We start from the raw sequence: 18,093 nt of genomic DNA on the forward strand, positions 1-18,093 counted from the left end.
GTATTTTTAGTAGAGATGGGGTTTCCCAATGTTGGCTAGGCTAGTCTCGAACTCCTGACCTCAAGTGATCTGTCTGCCTTGGCCTCCCAAAATGCTGGGATTACAGGTGTGAGCCACGGCACTCGGTCACAAAAGCCTTTCTTGAATGGAATGAAAATATTTACTAAGTGTGTCTTATTTATATAAGGCTGATAAATCTTTTAGCAGTCTCAGCAGTTTGATAAATGGTTAGTTTTCTCTCTTGATTTTAATAAAACAATTAACATAATTATAATTTAAAGACTATTTTAAATAAATATTTAAATGTGATAAGCCTGGTACGGTCAATTCAGTTTGGCATAGGTTTTTAAAGTGTCTGTTCAGAATTCTTTTGGCTGGATTGGTTCACAATAAATATCAGTAATGATGAATGAAATTTGGCAGTTCACTCATTCTCCATAATTTAGAAAGGTGCTAACATGCCTCCAAAGTGTTAGAGAATCTGTTCCTACTTCCTACTGCCTTTCATCTGAGTGTAAAAGATAGGCTTTTAAAGTCCCACTTGCAAATGCCTGGACAGTTTTCTGGAACTCCAAGAGACACTAATCAAAAAAACAGAGGAGTGCTAAGGAGAAACTGTAAACTATCCTAGTTTGCAAGAAATAAAAACTGACTGGACCTAACTTGAGCATAAGAAACAATTTATTTTAAAAGTTCAGGCTGGGTGCAATGGCTCACCCCTGTAATCCCAGTACTTTGGGACGCCAAGGTGGGCGGACTGTGTGAGTCCAGGAGTTCCAGACCAGCCTTGGAAACATGGCAAAACCCCGTCTCTACAAAAAATACAAAAATTAGGCTAGGCAGGGTGGCTCACACCTGTAATCCCAACACTTTGGTGGGAGGCTGAGGAGGGTGGATCATGAGGTCAAGAGATTTGAGACCGTCCTGGCCAACATGGTGAAACCCTGTCTTTACGAAAAACACAAAAATTAGCTGGGCGTTCGTGGTGTGCGCCTGTAATCCCAGCTACTTGGGAGGCTGAGGCAGAAGAACTGCTTGAACCTGGGAGACGGAGGTTGCAGTGAGCCAACACCACGCCACTGCACTCCAGCCTGGGCAATAGAGTGAGATCCTGTCTTAAAAAAAACAAAAACAAAAACAAAAACAAAAATTAGCCGAGCATGGTGGTGCACACCTGTAGTCCCAGCGGCTTTGGAGGCTGTGGTGGGAGGGTTACCTGACCTCAGTGAGCTGTGATCGCACCACTACACTCCAGTCTGGGTGAGAGGCAAGACACCATCTCAGAAAAAAAAAAAAAGTTCAGGATGTTCCCTGGAAGCCTAAGGCAGGAATTCAATTGAGTCTCTGGTAGTTCTGCCTACCTGGAAGTGGAAGCTCATGACGAGATGGGAAGATCCATTTCTTGTCTCTGCTTCTCTCTACAGTCCTGTTTCATTCTCTCCTCTCTGCAAACTGTCTTTCTTGTTTTTTCATGTCTGTGGTGGGCAGATGATAGCTACTTTTTATTCTCTGCTCAGAAGACAGTCCAGAATCTTTGAGTGTCTCTCAGTTCTAATTCTGAATTCCAAGGAGAGAGAATCTGATTTACAAATAATGCTGAGCTCTCGTGCTAGACTAGGAACTTTATGAGGCCAAATACTCTATTTTCAGGCATCCCTTTGTCTCATGCTCTAGAACATGCTTAGTATATAGTGGACACCTGAGGAATGTTTGTTGAAGGAACTGAGACTTTTCCAAAAATGATGACTATCCAGTGTTGAAACTAGCGGCCCTGAAGAGTTGTGTGATTCCTAGCACTCGCAGAATTTAAGAAAAAAATGGATAAATATCTGCTTACTAATATTAATGGCTAACATGTACTGTTTCATACATTCCTCATTCATATAGCTTAGATTAAGGAACTTGCACACAGTCACCAAACTAGTAAGTGGTTGATAAGGCATTTTGACTCTAGTTCTGTCTGTCTGGATCTAAAACTCGGTGACCCTCCAGCACAGTATATGGCCTCCAATAAGATTTTTAGGAGCAATGCTGGAGGCCTGGTTGAGTCAGTCTAGTCTTGTCCTTATAAGTCTGATCTGGGGCTTAGTAAATTTCTCCTGTTAACCACTTTATCAGCTCCCAGCCAAAAGATCTTCCCTTGCTTACTGATGTCTAAAATTCCATCTTTAGCAGAGTCATTTCTTTCTTTGGTTTAATATAAGGAGTATCTCATCATTATAGAGTACGTGGCAGGTTACAAAGACCTTTACATAATGATGTCATTTTTATGACAATCCAGTGACATCAATAAGGCAGGGATTATTGACTCCCATTTTTGAGATAAAGAAATGGAGGTTCACTGCTGCTAGGTGACTTGCTCCAGAAGAGATGACTGAACTCTCCAGGGAGCCTATGGACTCACCGCTTAGGGGTAGAGAGGAGGAACCTCTTTGGTCATGTCCCTGGGGGTGGGCAGTGAAAGCTGATCCATCAAGAGAGAAGCAAGAGTCACCTCCAAATGGGCTGAGAGGGACGGACAGCCACGGGCCACCTGGTACTGAGTTCTGTTGCTGGACTAGGGACTTTATGAGGACAAACACTGTTTTCAGTCATCTCTTTGTTCTCATGCTCTAGAACATGCTTGGTATATAGTGGACACCTGAGGAATATTTGTTGAAGGAATTGAGACTTTTCAAAATATGACAAATATCCACTGTTGGAATGAGCTTCCCTGAAGAGTTGTGTGAGTTCTAGCACTGTCAGAGTTTAAGAAAAAATGATAAATATCTGTTGACTAATATTAATGGCTAACATTGTTTACTATGTGCTGAGTACTGAGCTAAGTACTTTACTTGTATTGTTTCATGTATTCCTCATTCCAACCACATGAAATAGGTTCTATCATTAATCACATTGAAACCAAGGCATGGAAGAGTGAAGTTACTTGCTCAAGAATCCATTGCAAATAGTATGGCCAGGATTTGAACCCTGGAATACTGAGTTAGAGCCTTGGATCTTAATCATGTTGTCAGTCGTTTCCCAGGTGAGGCAGGAGTCTGAAGTAGGTTACCCCTTAAGAAATTTTCAACTATTTAAGATTCTCTGGTGGTTGGCCGTAAGATTAGTACTACCACACGGAGAAAGCTGGGAACAAGAACTGGTTGTAGACTGGGTGTGGTGGTTCATGCCTGTAATCCCAGCACTTTGGGAGGACTGCTTGAGCCCAGGAGTTTGAGACCAGCCTAGGCAACACAGCAAGACCTCATTTCTACAAACATAAATAAGTAAATTAGCTGGGATACATGCGTCTGTATCCCAGCTACTCAGGAGGCTGAGACGGGAGGATTGCTTGAGCCCAGGAGGTCAAGGCTGCAGTGAGCTGTGATGGCACCACTGTACTCCAGCCTGGATGACAGAGGGAGACCCATCTCAAAAAAAGCCCCCCAAAAACGGCCGAGTGTGGTGGCTCATGCCTGTAATCCCAGCACTTTGGGAGGTCGAGGTGTGTGGACCACTTGTCAGGAGTTCGAGACCAGCCTGGCCAACATGATGAACCCCGTCTTTACTAAAAATACATAAATTAGCCAGGCATGGTGGTGAACGCCTGTAATCCCTCGGGAGGCTTTGGCAGGAGAATTGCTTGAACCCGGGAGGTGGAGGTTGCAGTGAACCGAGATCGCACCATGGCACTCTAGCCTGGGTGACAAGAGTGAAACTCTGTTTCAAAAAAAAAAAAAAACCCAAAAAACAAACACCATCCCCCACCAAAAAAACAAAAACAAAAACAAAAAAACAAAACTAGTTGTAGAATGTAGAGAGGTTGGTAAAGAACAAGTTGATTTTGGTTATGTTTGGTATGAAGAGTCAGGATATCCAAATGGAAAAGTCCACTGATATTCTTTATGTTCAACAAAAAGATAATTCCTACTTACGCTGTTGCCATAAAAAGTTCTTCCAACATAATGCGTCATAACTATCCTAGTTTGGCTGTGTGTATTATGGTACTTATGGCTCACAGTACCCTGTTAACACAGTCTCATATTTTATTATTGATAATACTGCAGCTTTGTGAGATAAGCAACATTCCCATTTTAGAAGACAATTAAACACTGACTGTCTTTTGTCAGAAATTTCATTACAGAAAGTGTATGTAATTTCAAAACTGAAAACCACAAAGAAGTATCTTCTACACAACAAAAAGAAAAAAGCAAACAAAATATATCTTAAGGCTTAAAGAGTTCTAACTAAATTTGCCCGCCGAATCATTTCTTAACAAACAGGGATCTCAAATTTAGCATGCTGTATTATCACCATTCTTGGCAATAAAACAAAAATTGCAAACATATTAAGAAAACAATGCAATCTAAAACACAACAAGTGATAATCCATGTAAAAAATTATTTGATGGAATAACATTACTATTTAATAATAAAGTTCTGCTAAAGCTTTAGAAATATCAGAAAAAACTTACACTGGCAAACATTCATCAGGCAGTCAACAACTGAATGTCCCCTGTATACTGATACTAGGGGTGAAGAGACTCTAAAAAAAAGGGGAACAAGGCAAAATTTAACTTCAAGGGGCCTTTTCTCGCAGCATTGCAAATAAAACCCATGACTCTGGACATAAAAAAGCAACAGTGACACTGGGGACTACTAGAGGCGGGAGGGATGGAGGGGGAAAGAGTTGAAAAACTACTGGGTGCTATGCTCACTACCTAGGTGACGGGATCATTCATATCCCAAACCTCAGCATCATGCAATATAACCATGTAACAAACCTGTACATTATACCCTGAATCTAAAAGTTGAAATTATAAAAAAGCAAACAAGAAAACCCATGACTCCTAGGAACAAGCACTCAGGTTCCCATATGACCAAAGCCAGCCAGAGGCAAACTTGGAATCAGATAGGCCTAGGCTTTCTTTTTTTTTTTTTTTTTTTTTTGAAACAGGGTCTCGCTCTGTCACCCAGGCTGGAGTGCAGTGGCGCAATCTCGGCTCACTGCAAGCTCCGCTTCCCGAGTTCATGCCATTCTCCTGCCTCAGCCTCCCGAGTAGCTGGGACTACAGGCGCCCGCCACCACGCCCGGCTAATTTTTTATATTTTTAGTAGAGACGGGGTTTCACCGTGTTAGCCAGGATGGTCTCGATCTCCTGACCTTGTGATCCGCCCACCTTGGCCTCCCAGAGTGCTAGGATTACAGGTGTGAGTTACCCCGCCCGGCCGGCCTAGGCTTTCATCACAACAGACGCACTGTTTACCAATGGTACGACCTTGGGGAAGTTGCAAAACCTCTCTAAGCTCATTTCTTCATCCACAAAATGGTAAAACTAATCTTTTCTGCGTAGGGTTGTTGTAAGAATTACATGAGAGGTGTGAAAACAGTCTAGAACAGTGGCAGTGTGGACTTGCAATAAATGTTAGCCTCATCCTTTTCCCCACATTAGTTCCTTTGCTTTTAAGAAAACTGCTAAAATACAGAGGAAATTGACTCCCTCATTCAATTAAAAACACAGTTATTGTCTACTGGGCCACTATGTACAGATGTATAGGTTGTTCCCTGCTGAAGAGAGATTGGTGACTGGATTCCAGCCCATAAACACTCATCAGACTTGGTGTTCTGTTTCTAATTTGCACAAAGGTGCTACATGTGTGTTTCAGAAGTGACAAAACTGGGCTTTGCCCACAAGTAGCATGTAGCTTGTATCTCATGTCTGAGGGGAAAACAGACAAGTAATCAAGAACTACAATACATATTAAAAAAAAAGAAGTAAAAAAACCCTACAATACATATAATTAATGCTAGTCTAAAGAAGGCACTGCAAGAACAAAAAAGAAAGACATTTAAATCAGACAATTTGGGGGGCCCAGGATTAGTGACCGAGGATCAGTAACTTAAAGGATGATGGGGAGATCGTGGGGAAGGATGTTCTAGGCAGAGGAGTGACATTTAATTATTAATACATTTATTCATTCAGTAAATGTGTTTTGTTAGTTCATGTCTTTTATTAACTCATACACAATTAATTGTCTTCTGGTTTGCTGAAGCAATGAGACATTTGTCACAATAATGTCTGTCAAAGTGGCTGGCCATAAACGCTCCAGTACCACATTCATCTGAAGAGCACTCTAGATGAAGGCGACTTATTTTGCCATTCTCATCCACCTTACAGTATTTCAGGACAGCCAGCTTCACCTTCTTTCGCTTACGCTTATTCTTCTCAGGAGTGGTGTAAACATTCAGTAAAAAATAATTGAATATCTAAGTGCCACGTACTGTTCCAGTACTGAAGATACAATAGTGAATAAAACAGACAGGATCTCTTTCTTGTAATTCTAACATTCTAGTAGAAGAGACAAAAAATAATTGGGCCAAAAAATATTAAGTAGTGCGATGTACTTTGGGAGAATATAAGCAGGGTGGAGGTGCTGGTGGTAGGTGGGGTGAGGATGCGACCTTAGAATGGAGAGTGGAAGAGTGGGAGAGTAGGAAGGCCTCTTCAGGTAGGTGTCATTTAAGCTCAGATCTGAATGGCAAGTGTGGGAAGCTCGGGTTGATCATATCAGGCAGAGGGAGGAGCTGTTGCAAGTCTTAAGTGGGGAATGAACTTTGTGTTTTTAAGTTGGCAAAGACCAGTGTGGCTGAAATGCAGTGGATGAAAAGAGGGGCAGGAGATGCAATATGGAGAGAGAGGTATGTGCCAAACCTAGGTAAGGCCTGGAAGCTTGAGAGTGGTGAGCTCAGAGACCTGCTAAGAGTTTGATATGGCATTAGGAAAGGGACTGTGTTAGGTGATGAGAGAAGTGATTTGGGAGATACAGGCAAGAAACAGATTCCGACAAGCCCTACATGGAGGATCTGGGAGGTATTATTTCTGCTCAGTGCTATGCAGAGAATCCCAAGGAGGCCATGACTAAAGTCATTCAAAGAAAACCTTTCATGTTTATGCCTTCAAGGAAGGTATGAATACTGAATCTTATCTTTATTACTTGTTCTTGAATCAAAGTCATCAATGAGAACTTAGAACTCTTCTCAGGCGTGCCCCTAAATTCTGATTAATGTAAGATTTATTTTTGCAACATTTGAGTATACTTACCCTGATGGTGATTTCTGTTCCATGGAATGTTAAACTAAGTTGTTTTGTAAAAGAAGAATATATTTTACAATGACTTAAATGTTGAGGCAGCACATAATGTCATGTTGGTAACAAATATGTGATATTTATTTATTAGAGCATGAGAGTATTTTGCCTCCTGATATATGAGGCAGACATTGCTATTTGTCTACCTTATATCCATGGTTTCCCCTTCATTCTTAACAACAGAACCTCAATTTTGTTTGCGAATGAGCCCAACCGAAAATACTTGTGTTCTAAACTTCCTTGCAGCTAGGGATCATCCTGTGACACAGTTCTGGTCAACATGTAGGTGGAAGTTTCTAGGGAGTGTGGTCTTTCCTGAAGAAAAAGGCAAAGTCTGGAGAAAGCCCTTTTTCCTGTTCCCTTTCGTGCTTCCCCTTCCTTTCTGGTATTTGTAATCATTTAGTGACTTGATGTTTGGAGTCTTCTAATTTCTTTAAACATATTGCAAAATAGTATGTGGAGCTGAAGACCACTGTCCCATGAGGAGGTGGGCTACATCTTTGTGATGTTTGCACTGGTCTGGAGCTAAACTGCAGGCATAAAACTATAGTAAGGTAATTTTATCAAAAGTACAGTATCTCTCAGAATTCATTATACTGAAGGCTGTACTTCATGTTTGTAGTGATAAGTAGTTTCTCCCTTTCCTTGATCCAGAATGTATGTATGTAGTGATACATAAGTTTCTCCCTTTCCTTGATCCAGAAAAATCTAGTCAACAATTATTTCTTAAATGTTCATTTAACTATATATATACTGACTATAATTTCAATTTCAAATGTAACACTTCCTTTTGTGCCATGAGGGATACAGCAAGATTTTTTCAAGTTCCTGGGCCTGTAGATTTAAAAAAAAAAAAAAAAGAAAGAAAAGTAAGAAAAAAAGAAAAGAAATTAAAAAGAGGAAAAGATTTTTGTTCTTGGGAAGCTGATAATTTCATGAGATGACAGATGTATTCACAAATAAATGTAAAACAAGTACGTATATGATGTGGTGGGCCATGGCCAGGCCTGCCGCAGAACGACTAAGTGGATGTGAAGGGATTTGGAAAAAAAGCCCCTGCCCCAAATGCAAAGCACACGTTTCCAGGGCTGGAACCTGGATGTTAGGCCTAGGTGATGTGACTCCAGAGTGGCAAAACTGTTGCCTTATGTATAGTATAAATTGTTTCTGGATGGTGAAGAGCCTAGGGTTATAAAAGTTATTGAGTCTACAATTCTGTGAGACATCTCATTCTGTATAGGCCCTGTCACTGAGTTGCAGTGTGCCTCTAGATACAAGGAGTCAGTGTGAGCTGCTTCCTCCCCCACAACCTGCCTCCGTATTTGGTTTCTGTGCTCTGTGCAGTTTACTGGCTGCTTCAGGATTAAACAAAGTAAAAGCAACCCTGAAATGTTGCCCATTAAATAGCATCTTTGAGTAGGCCGTGTGGGGAGGTAATAAGTGCCATTAGGGCATTATTAGGATGAGTGTCAAAGAGTTGTGAGGAGGAAGAAACTTCTGGCTGGAGGCTTCAGGAAGGTGGCAGCATGAGCTACATCTTGAACGGTGGATAAAATTTCTTAAGGTGAAGATGGGAGGAAAGGCATTACAAGAACAGGAAAGAATATGAATGAGGAAATGGAGGTAGGAGAAGAGAGCCGTGTATTGGAAATGAAAAGCAGTCCTGTTTGGCTGAAGAACAAGAACTGTATGAGGAAGCAGTGAAAGATGAGGCTGGAAAGGGAGTCAGGGCCAGGCTAAAAGGGTTGGCATTTAAAGTTAGTCATGGGAGCCATGGAATGTTTTTGAGCAACTATTAAAGCAGGTGGATTAGTAAAATAGGGAACACACAAATAAATCTGGCAGCATTACTGTGCATGAAACATGGATGAAAAGACTGGGAGATCGCTTAAAATGCCCAGGCATGAACTGAGGTCACATGTGATCACAGAATAGGACAGGAATTTAAGAGTGCTATTTTAAAACTAATTGCTTTGCGGGTGGGGAGGGGGTGGTGCATCAAAGGGAAAAAAGACTATGAATTTGAGTTTTGGAATTTAACATATGGGAGGATAATAAATAGTACAGTGAACAAAGGGAAGACAGGAAGAAGGAAATATAGTATTCGTTTCAGAGATGTTGGGTTGAGGCACAAGTGGAACATTCTGGTGGAAATTTGCTACAGGCAATTGAAAATAGAATAGAGCTCAGCTGAGAGGTGGAGTGGCGGATGACTCACCTACATTGAGGTGAGTCAGGGACTTTGATCTGTCATAAGCATAGTATATGAACCTAATAACAGGCTCTAAATACTAGACAAATGTCCTAACAAGGAAGACAGAGATCTAGGAGTGCCTTGAGAAAAAAGGCAGCACTGCGATTATTGATCTGTATAACTTGTGTTTGTTTTACCAGCTGTGAAATTCTCAGAACTGGCAGGTAGTATTGTCAAGGGACACATTCTTGTATAGAAACCCACAACGCTGAATCGTCATATATTCCTAGTCTAGAATCTGAGATATACACGAACTCCACAACTAAGTAGACGAAAGCATCCCTTTTTTTGGGGGGGGGGGGGGATGGGGGGCACATAACCCTGAACCACGGTCCAATTACAGGTACAGTACTGATGATGGCTTAAGTAGTTCATGGAACTAGTTAAAACTAAAACCATGGAAATGTTACCCAGGAGAGGTAAGGCTGCGTGCCTGGCAGGTGCCGCAGGGAAGTAGGGGAAAGGTTAAGGAGAACACCAGCCTCCGGAGAAAGAGAAGCAAAGGTGATTGCATAGCTGCCAGCTGGAAGCCGACTCTCGTCATAGGGCATACTCGCCCCACTGTGCATCGCCGGTGCCTACCTCACCCAGTTCCAAGGCGGGGGCGCGCCGAGGCAGGGGTGGGGTCACCAGGAGAAAAGCAAGTGGGCAGAAAAGCCCGTTGGGAAGAGACGGCTGGGAGGAGGCCCCGGCCCCAGCCTTACTACGTTTCCCAGAATTCAGTGAGGCCACGAAGACAGGCTCCCTGGGCGCGGACGGAAGACTGGCCGCATGGGATTTGTAGGTAGGATCCGCGCCCCGCCCGACGGAGGCGTCCAGTGGGGAGGTGTGCAGGGATTGGTTGGGAAGCGCTCAAGCCCCGCCCACAGAGTGACGTCAGGTGGCGGTATTGCTACTTAAGGCGTCGTGGCCTCCCCTGCCCCGCCTTAGCTCCCGCGCTAGAGAGAAACATGTATCGTTTTCGATCACAGCTCTTCACGGGGATTTCTGCTGCCGCCACCGCCCACTCTTACCCCCGCCGCTTCTCGACTCTGTTGTTAGCCGAAGACTCGCCTCTCAGCCGCCCGCCGCACAGACGCACGAGTAAAAAGTGCAGCTCCATCGGCTGATCCTCGCTAAGCTCCGACTCTGGGCGGCACCGGGCGTCCCACGATGCCGAAGAACAAGAAGCGGAACACTCCCCACCGCGGTAGCAGTGCTGGCGGCGGCGGGTCAGGAGCAGCCGCAGCGACGGCGGCGACAGCAGGTAAGGGGTATCCCCGCCGCCGGCATCCCAGTTGCCGGCCAGGCTGGCGAGTCTTCCATGCTTCGGCACGGTGGGAGTTGTAGTTCTTTCTCTGATGTACACATTTGCATTTCCAGGGTGCGTGGTTTGGCTACTGAACTACAATTCCCAGCGTGCCCTGGGCGCTGCTCCTCGCGCGATTTAGATCTGGCGTGCGAACCGGACTCTTGGGCACCGGCCGTGGGGGCAGGGAGGAACGGGTCCTTGGGCCTGAGAGTGTGTCGGGACAGGGGCTGACCGGGAGCTGGGCGGGAAAGGAACCATTGTCAGAGTTCCTTTCTCGGCGGCGATCTCGCCCGATCTCTCCCCGACCACGGGTGGGGAAGAACGGGGAGTTGAGCCCGTGCCGTCACTGGCCGCCTTTGACACCCTGGCTCCAACATGGAGCTCCTGGGATGCCAGACGTCCGGCGGGTTTGGACGGGCTCTTGCGTCACGCGGCCTGGGCCTTGCGCGGTGGGCCCGGGGTGACGCAGAGGCGCTGGGGAAGCTTTCCGTCTCGCAGGTCCACCTGGCCAGGCGAAGGCGTCGGAGGCGGGGGGACCACTTTCTCCCCCCTAGGCTGTGCTCCTTCCCCTAACTGGCACCTGCAGAAGCCCTGAACCTCTAGCACCTCTGCGACCACCCGAGGCGACCTCCTGCTCACGGGGGGAAGAAACGCGTTCTCCTTTGTGCTGCATTCTATATGTTCTCTGCAGTGAGCCCCAGAGAGGCAGGGTGGTGAGGAGCTTAGGTTGCAGTTGGCTAAAAGTTGAGGTTATTGTGCCCTCGCTACGAAGTTGAAACTTTTCCTGGGTGGGATGAGTAGGTGCTTAACTGAACTTATGGTTTTCTACTTATTATATGGTTAAGAAAAAGGATTCCAATTGGAATTGGAAGGCCCTTCTAGGAGAGACCCCAATAAACTCAAATCGAGTATTAAATAACCTGGGTAATATTTTATTTAGAAATTTAAACAGGAGTTAAATATTGGAGTATTCTCCGACGTTATCACACTGGAACTATTAGCCATCAGGTATTTTTGGACACAGTTGCCCCTCTGCCACGGCTGCCACTCAGAATGATATGCCTTTGTTCACAAGAAAAGTAAATATGGGGTTATGTTGTTAAAGGTTATTGGAAACTGGCATTTAAAAAAGCTCAAAAACTCGTGATCATGTATTAAACATTTAATAATTGACCATAGGGAGGGATTCTTAAAACAGCAATTTTTTACATTTTTTAGGTGCCTCTTTATTTTGAATGCTCTCCATGTTGATGAAATTCATTCTTTATCAAGATGTAAAATATGTAATTTATTGTGGCCTCTGGTTGCTCTATGTGAATTGAGGATACTTTTTTTTTTTTTGTTAAGGGAAAGAGGGAGTCTGGCTCTGTCGCCCAGGCTGGAGTGCGGTGTGGTGTGATCATAGCTCACTGCAACCTCTTAACTCCTGGGCTCAAGCAGCTCTCCCTCCTCAGCCTCCTGTAGCTAGGACTACAGGCATGTGACACCATTCCTGGCTATTTTTTACATTTTTTGTGGAGACAAGGTCTATGTTGGCCAGGCTGGTCACGAGTCCCTCGTCCCCAGGGATCTTCCTGCCTAAGCCTCCCACAATGCTGGGACGGTGCCTGGTCTGAGGATATTTCTTACCACTGTGTTTCAGCTTTTCCTCATCTGAATCAAACATTTGAATTCTTTCTAGAAGGTATTTATTTTATTCTATTACCCTTTTGTTGATGAAATGGAAAAGTTTGAAAGCTAAAGTTTGAAAGTTATAATGATGTTAGTAATGGCCTAGATCACGCACAAACCTTTAATCCCGTCTAAAGTTTCTGGGCAAGCCTCCTTCCCTCTTTGTGCTTATAGTACCTATACAGGCCTCTGGTGGCTGTATGGGGATTGCCTTTTAAATTTTGCTTCAGGGCTCATTTGTGACCTTTCATCAGCTTTATTGCTGCTACCTTTTCACTATTTTAGTAGAAAAGATCCATTTCATCACTGAATTTTAGCATATGTAAACAAGTGGAAAATAATTCTTTGATTAATTTATAACACAATACATGCTTTGAATATCTTTGGAAGTGTGTGCTAGAACTTGTTAACTGTGGTTACCTCAGAAGTGGAGCTGGGGAAAGGTATGGGGGTGAGATTTACTTTTTAAAACTTTAACTTGGTCCTATGTGAATGTTTTACTTGTTTAATAAACAATGAATAAATAATAGTTGAGTAGAAGAGATGGAAAATTACACAAACTTTTGCTTACTTAACAAGCCACTTACCTAACTAGTATTTTTAAATGACATCTAAAAGAAATGGGATTCAAATGAGGTCTCCACTATGTAACCAAATTGTCATTATTACTTTAATGAGTTTTCTATTTAAACTCTTTATTTTTTTTATGTTAGTGGAGAGTTTTAGGAAGCTAATAAAATTGACTTCTTTTATACAGGTATGTCATAGCACTTAATTTAAAGAGAATATTTTTAAGAAAGAACAAAACCTTGTTAGTAAGCCCTCTAGAAATAAGTACTTTATGTGCCTAGAGTGCCATCTCTTTCGTGGTACTTAGGATCACAGTGTGGGTGGGTGAGTTTGACCTAAATATCAGGCATTCATACAGGGTTCTTTTTCTTGATACATATATATGTGTATTTTTTTTCTTTCCCTCGAATCTTAGAAATCATTAATACTGATGAGTTAAGGGAGCAGAGTAAGAGCTGCATAGGAGGAATACTCTTAGAAATAGGCTATGAAAAAGAAAAACTGTGAATTGACTTGTGAATAAATGTTAATAAAATTAATCAGATGACACTCATCTGTTGCCATTACTTCAGTCATAAAAACGAGGAAGATAGATCCAGAAATAGAGTGTGATGTCATAGGTCTTTGTTTATTCCTGTCCTAAGCACTCCAAGAAATTTTGAGATTTTGGCTTCATTGCTTAATCTTTATGCTTTACTACTTTGGCACCACGCAAGCAAATCTGAAGGCCACTTGCTTGCTGTGTTAATTTAAAAATCTGCTAAATTCTCTGTTTTGATTTTAAAAAAGACAACTCCGTTAAAAAAAAAAATCCAGCCCAACAGTAACAGGCTTAAATTTGGAGCATTAAAAAAAAACCGTTAAGGTGGTGACGTTTGAACATACGAACTTTGATTTTACTGAAAGGGAATTAGGTTCAGAGGTTAATCAGGTGACTCACGGTCACTTTTGGGGCAGAATTTGGGACTTAATTTAACTCAGTGCTGAATTGTAGTTTATGACTTGGCAGTCCTTTTATTAATACAAAATCCCTAAGTGACTGTATATTTATTCCTGAAGTTAATGAAGTTTAAAGAAAGATTCTAGTTTTTAAAAAGAAGATTTTATTTTTTTAGTAACAGCATTGGTACTTTTTTTTTTTTGAGACAGAATTTTACTCTTGTCCACAGGCAGGCAGTGCAATGGTGCTATCTCGGCTCACTGCAGTCTGTGCCACCTGGGTTCAAGTGATTCTGTGCCTCAGCCTCCCAATTAGCTGGGATTACAAGCGCCTGCCACCAGGGCCAGCTAATTTTTGTATTTTTAGTAGAGACTGGGTTTCGCCATGTTGGCCAGGCTGGTCTCCAACTCCTGACCTCAGGTGATCTGCCGGCCTCAGCCTCCCAAAGTGCTGGGATTATAAGTGTGAGCCACCGCACCCGGCCAGCATTGGTACTTTTAAACTCTTGCACATTGTAGAAACTTTCCCTTAAAGGTAGTTTATCTGATAGGCTTTTATACTATATCAAATACCAAAACTTCTATTTTAAGCCTTTTTTGTCTTCTCTCACTTCAAGTTGTCTTTAAAACTACCCTGCCTTAACTCCTTAATTCCCCTTAACATAAGACATGTGTAACCTAAAAACCCATTCACCAGTTCATGTTTGCTAAGTCCAGCCATTCTCATTGGAAAATATATTTGTCTTATTCTTATGATTATCTATGATACAACACTATTTCTGGATCTGTTTTCATTGTCTTCATGATTTGAAATCATGGTCTAGAAATAATTATTTCATCTTCATATCAGTTTTTTTTTTTTTTTTTTTTTTTTTTTGAGACAAGGTCTTGGTCTGTCGCCCAGGCTGGAGTGCAGTGGCACCATCTTGGCTCACTGCAACGTCTGCCTCCGAGGCTCAAGCGATTCTTCTGCCTCAGCCTCCCGAGTAGCTGGGACTATAGGCACGCACCACTACACCGGGCTAATTTTTGTATTAGTAGAGACGGGGTTTCACCATGTTGGCCAGGCAGGTCTCAAATTCCTGACCTCAAGTGATCTGTCCGCCTCAGCCTCCCAAAGTGCTAGGATTACAGGCGGGAGCCACCGCGCCCACCTTTGTATCAGTTTTTGTGTCATAAAAAAATGAGTGCGTCGGCTGGGCTCAGTGGCTCACACCTGTAATCTCAGCACTTTGGGAGGCCGAAGTGGGTGGATCACGAGGTCAGGAGTTCGAGACCAGCCTGACCAACATGGTGAAACCCTGTCTCTACTAAAAATACACAAAAAATTTGTCAGGCGTGGTGGTGTGCGCCTGTAATCCCAGCTACTCAGGAGGCCGAGGCAGGAGAATTGCTCGAACCCAGGAGGTGGAGGTTACAGTGAGCCAAGATTGTGCCACTGCACTGCAGCCAGGGCGACAGGGAGGCTCTGTCTCAAAAAAACAAAAAAAACAAAACAAAACAAAAAAAAGAATGCCTCTTGTTAGAGGACTGATGCGTATAGTTGATGTATCATTGGTCCTTTGAAATACGTAATTAGGTGAACTTAGTTTAAGAATATTTAAGTATGTTCACTTGTGATAAAATCTCTTTTTATAAAATGAGTCTGTGGTTTTATTACTGGATTTCTCTTTAAGTAAACTTAAAAATTCCAAAGTTAAATATTTAGGTATATGGCAATAAAATAATTTACCTCTTTCCTCTTTTACCTAATAGGTGGCCAGCATCGAAATGTTCAGCCTTTTAGTGATGAAGATGCATCAATTGAAACAATGAGCCATTGCAGTGGTTATAGCGATCCTTCCAGTTTTGCTGAAGATGGTATGAGTTTTAAATTTAAATTTGCAACTTTAGATAAAATGTTTCAGGTGGAGGAATTCTTGTAGCTAAAGTATACTATTATTCCCTGTTTTTTTTCTTTTAAATTACGATGGCTGTTTTATATTATTTCTTAGGACCAGAAGTCCTTGATGAGGAAGGAACTCAAGAAGACCTAGAGTACAAGTTGAAGGGATTAATTGACCTAACCCTGGATAAGAGGTAGGCAATACTGGAAACTCCATTCTGTGTGAGTCTATGCTTGATCTTAGTCAAAAGCTAAGAGAAATGATTATTCTGTGTGATTCTAATCAGTTACCTTACATGTATATAATTTGTGCAGCTCTCAGATAATAGCAATATATTTTTCCTAAAGGTTAATTTGTTTACTTTGGATGTTTCTTATTCCGTTGGACTTTAATGTGGGTAGTAACATGCCATTAGAATTTAGATTGAGTCAGATTAGTCATTATTCTAGCATAATAGCACATACATAGCTGTATTTGATTATAATAGAAATGAATTTGTTGAATTAAAAGTTAATCTTCAACTAGAAATGATAACGAAACCTTGCTTTAAGCTGCTTGTCCACTAATGTTATGATATGAAAAAATGTCAAAGCTAGATTGTTTCTTTTCACTATAGCTTCAGAACTGACCTTAATAGAATTAAAAAGCCCTGAAGATGCAATTCTAGACTTTTATAGTTTTAAAAAAAGTGTAAATTTACTTAAATATGTAATATAGGAAAACAATACATTAAAACTATACTTGTACATTGAAACGATAAAATATTATGTAAGCATTTAAAGTTGTGGCTATCAAACTAAGAAAAATGCCATGATATAAAGCAGCCTTAAGTGTTTTGTGTAACAAGGTGAGTCATAGATGGAAATTAAATTATATTATTGACAAATGGTTAGAGCTTGATGAGAATTAGATTTAAAAAATCTATACATAGGTAAAGTTTAGAAGGAAATAAGATTTTAAAAAGTTATTTATTGTATACTCCAACTGGATCTTCTTTCTCTTACATTGGGTGTTAAATAGTGCGAAGACAAGGCAAGCAGCTCTTGAAGGTATTAAAAATGCACTGGCTTCAAAAATGCTGTATGAATTTATTCTGGAAAGGAGAATGACTTTAACTGATAGCATTGAACGCTGCCTGAAAAAAGGTAATGCCCTTATTTTTGAGTCACAGACGTACAACTAATAAGGAGTGTGTTATCTTCTTTTCAGTAACATTTAGTAATAGCACTGGAACACTGGCCCACTCTTAAAATTTTCTAATAGTCAAGGAGTGCACCATCTTGTTATGGCTCAAAATGAGACTTGTTAGAACTTTGTTTTTGTATTACGTAAACCAAAAAAAAATAGCTTGAAACTAAGAAGGATTAGGGTAGATTGTCATCAACCTTTTTTGTATCAGAAGAGGTGATGGTCATTCTCTTGTTATACCAGAAAAGCTTGAAAGTGTGTGTCAGACATCTAGCTCATTTTCCCTTGCACTTATATAAAACATTGATTGTACCTGTAAATTACATCATTTTCAGGATATCCCTTGGAATACTTGAATTCTAGAACTTTGTAATAGAAATTCTGGAATTCAAATTGTTACAGTGATAGAACTTTTAAGACCAAAGAGAAATCTTAAAGATAATTTTATCAGACCTTAAAGTCCAGTGTTAGTAGGCTTACTAGATTTAGGAACCACCAAATTTAAAAAGACTTGTGACTCGGCATGGTGGTTCACATCTGTAATTGTGGCACTTTGGGAGACCGAGGTGGGAGGATTGCTGGAAGCCAGGAGTTGGAGACCACCTGGGCAACAAAGCGATACTTGGTTTCTATTATAACAAACAAAACAAAACGAGATTTGGTGTCTGCCAACTTATTCAGCCAAGTAAGAACATTATGAAAATAATTATCCTCCACTATCATTATTTTATTAGCAAAATATTATAGCACCAAAAATGTAGAAATGCACTTTTAAAAAATTGAATGAACTAATAAGCTTTATATCCTTATTTTTCTCATTTTACCTGAGAGTAAAAATTTTGTTGTAAGTGAAACCTTTGATCAAATTCACTCTTCCATTGAATAGAATAAAGAAAGGCCTAGGAAAACTGAGGTGGGTCTAAGCTGATATATCTTGTTATTGGTATAGTTGATAGCAGACCCAACTTTTTAAAGATAACACAATGGCGCTATTAAAGGTGTTTTACATTCAAACTATATGCTATAATGGTTGTTGGACTAGATGACCTTTAAAAATTCCATTTTAGTTTGCGTATTTTTTACATTTTTAATTTATCAGGTAATAATTTAAGCTCAGTATTTGCCCCACACTTGTGGTGTATACAGTTCTCAAGAGTTAATTTATATG

General features: G+C 41.4%; 2 protein-coding genes and 1 long non-coding RNA gene across 13 annotated transcripts in view, besides 5 other annotated features; 2 read left to right on the plus strand and 1 right to left on the minus strand.

The window, feature by feature from the left end:
* The window catches only part of LOC105375457 (uncharacterized), a 28,346-nt gene extending 23,196 nt beyond the window's left edge, over positions 1 to 5,150 (minus strand). For 4 of the 7 annotated variants that reach the window (XR_001745325.2, XR_927872.3, XR_001745324.2 and 1 more), the window contains exons 1-2: positions 2,149 to 3,194; positions 1,362 to 1,557 (exon numbers count right to left, since the gene is read on the minus strand). This is a non-coding gene — a long non-coding RNA (uncharacterized LOC105375457). Of the gene's footprint in view, positions 1 to 1,361; positions 1,558 to 2,148; positions 3,195 to 4,453; positions 4,525 to 5,110 lie in introns of those variants that run through there. The other 3 variants (XR_927871.1, XR_927874.3, XR_001745327.2) reach the window with 3 other exon arrangements.
* Positions 1 to 18,093, plus strand: part of IFRD1 (interferon related developmental regulator 1) — a 54,030-nt gene that overhangs the window by 16,983 nt on the left and 18,954 nt on the right. For 2 of the 5 annotated variants that reach the window (NM_001007245.3, NR_120333.1), the window contains 4 exons: positions 10,352 to 10,626; positions 15,607 to 15,711; positions 15,846 to 15,930; positions 16,758 to 16,882. In NM_001007245.3, the coding sequence (NP_001007246.1) occupies positions 10,533 to 10,626; positions 15,607 to 15,711; positions 15,846 to 15,930; positions 16,758 to 16,882 (409 nt within the window). In that variant the 5' untranslated portion in view covers positions 10,352 to 10,532. Of the gene's footprint in view, positions 1 to 10,303; positions 10,627 to 11,901; positions 12,356 to 15,606; positions 15,712 to 15,845; positions 15,931 to 16,757; positions 16,883 to 18,093 lie in introns of those variants that run through there. The other 3 variants (NM_001550.4, NM_001197079.2, NM_001197080.2) reach the window with 3 other exon arrangements.
* Positions 9,394 to 10,211: an enhancer, noted in NCBI's record as "H3K27ac hESC enhancer chr7:112089605-112090422 (GRCh37/hg19 assembly coordinates)". NCBI's record gives its function as "activates a minimal SCP1, AML or CMV promoter by ChIP-STARR-seq in naive H9 embryonic stem cells {active_cell/tissue: H9 hESC(naive)}" and the evidence as "EXISTENCE:reporter gene assay evidence [ECO:0000049][PMID:30033119]".
* Positions 10,212 to 11,029: an enhancer, noted in NCBI's record as "H3K27ac hESC enhancer chr7:112090423-112091240 (GRCh37/hg19 assembly coordinates)". NCBI's record gives its function as "activates a minimal SCP1, AML or CMV promoter by ChIP-STARR-seq in naive H9 embryonic stem cells {active_cell/tissue: H9 hESC(naive)}" and the evidence as "EXISTENCE:reporter gene assay evidence [ECO:0000049][PMID:30033119]".
* Positions 10,329 to 10,618: an enhancer, noted in NCBI's record as "active region_26511". NCBI's record gives its function as "activates an Ori minimal core promoter by ATAC-STARR-seq in GM12878 lymphoblastoid cells {active_cell/tissue: GM12878}" and the evidence as "EXISTENCE:reporter gene assay evidence [ECO:0000049][PMID:35858748]".
* On the plus strand, positions 10,331 to 10,489 carry LOC128031837 (uncharacterized). The gene has a single exon (NM_001414739.1). The coding sequence runs from the start codon at positions 10,331 to 10,333 to the stop codon at positions 10,487 to 10,489; it is 159 nt and encodes a 52-aa protein (NP_001401668.1).
* Positions 10,859 to 10,908: an enhancer, noted in NCBI's record as "active region_26512". NCBI's record gives its function as "activates an Ori minimal core promoter by ATAC-STARR-seq in GM12878 lymphoblastoid cells {active_cell/tissue: GM12878}" and the evidence as "EXISTENCE:reporter gene assay evidence [ECO:0000049][PMID:35858748]".
* Positions 11,029 to 11,148: an enhancer, noted in NCBI's record as "active region_26513". NCBI's record gives its function as "activates an Ori minimal core promoter by ATAC-STARR-seq in GM12878 lymphoblastoid cells {active_cell/tissue: GM12878}" and the evidence as "EXISTENCE:reporter gene assay evidence [ECO:0000049][PMID:35858748]".

Source organism: Homo sapiens, chromosome 7, assembly GCF_000001405.40.
Source record: "Homo sapiens chromosome 7, GRCh38.p14 Primary Assembly".
Classification (NCBI taxonomy): Eukaryota; Metazoa; Chordata; class Mammalia; order Primates; family Hominidae; genus Homo; species Homo sapiens.

Bases quoted from the DNA above. Each gene is read 5' to 3' on its own strand.
- LOC128031837 (NM_001414739.1), top strand. From the start codon at position 10,331: ATGTATCGTTTTCGATCACAGCTCTTCACGGGGATTTCTGCTGCCGCC.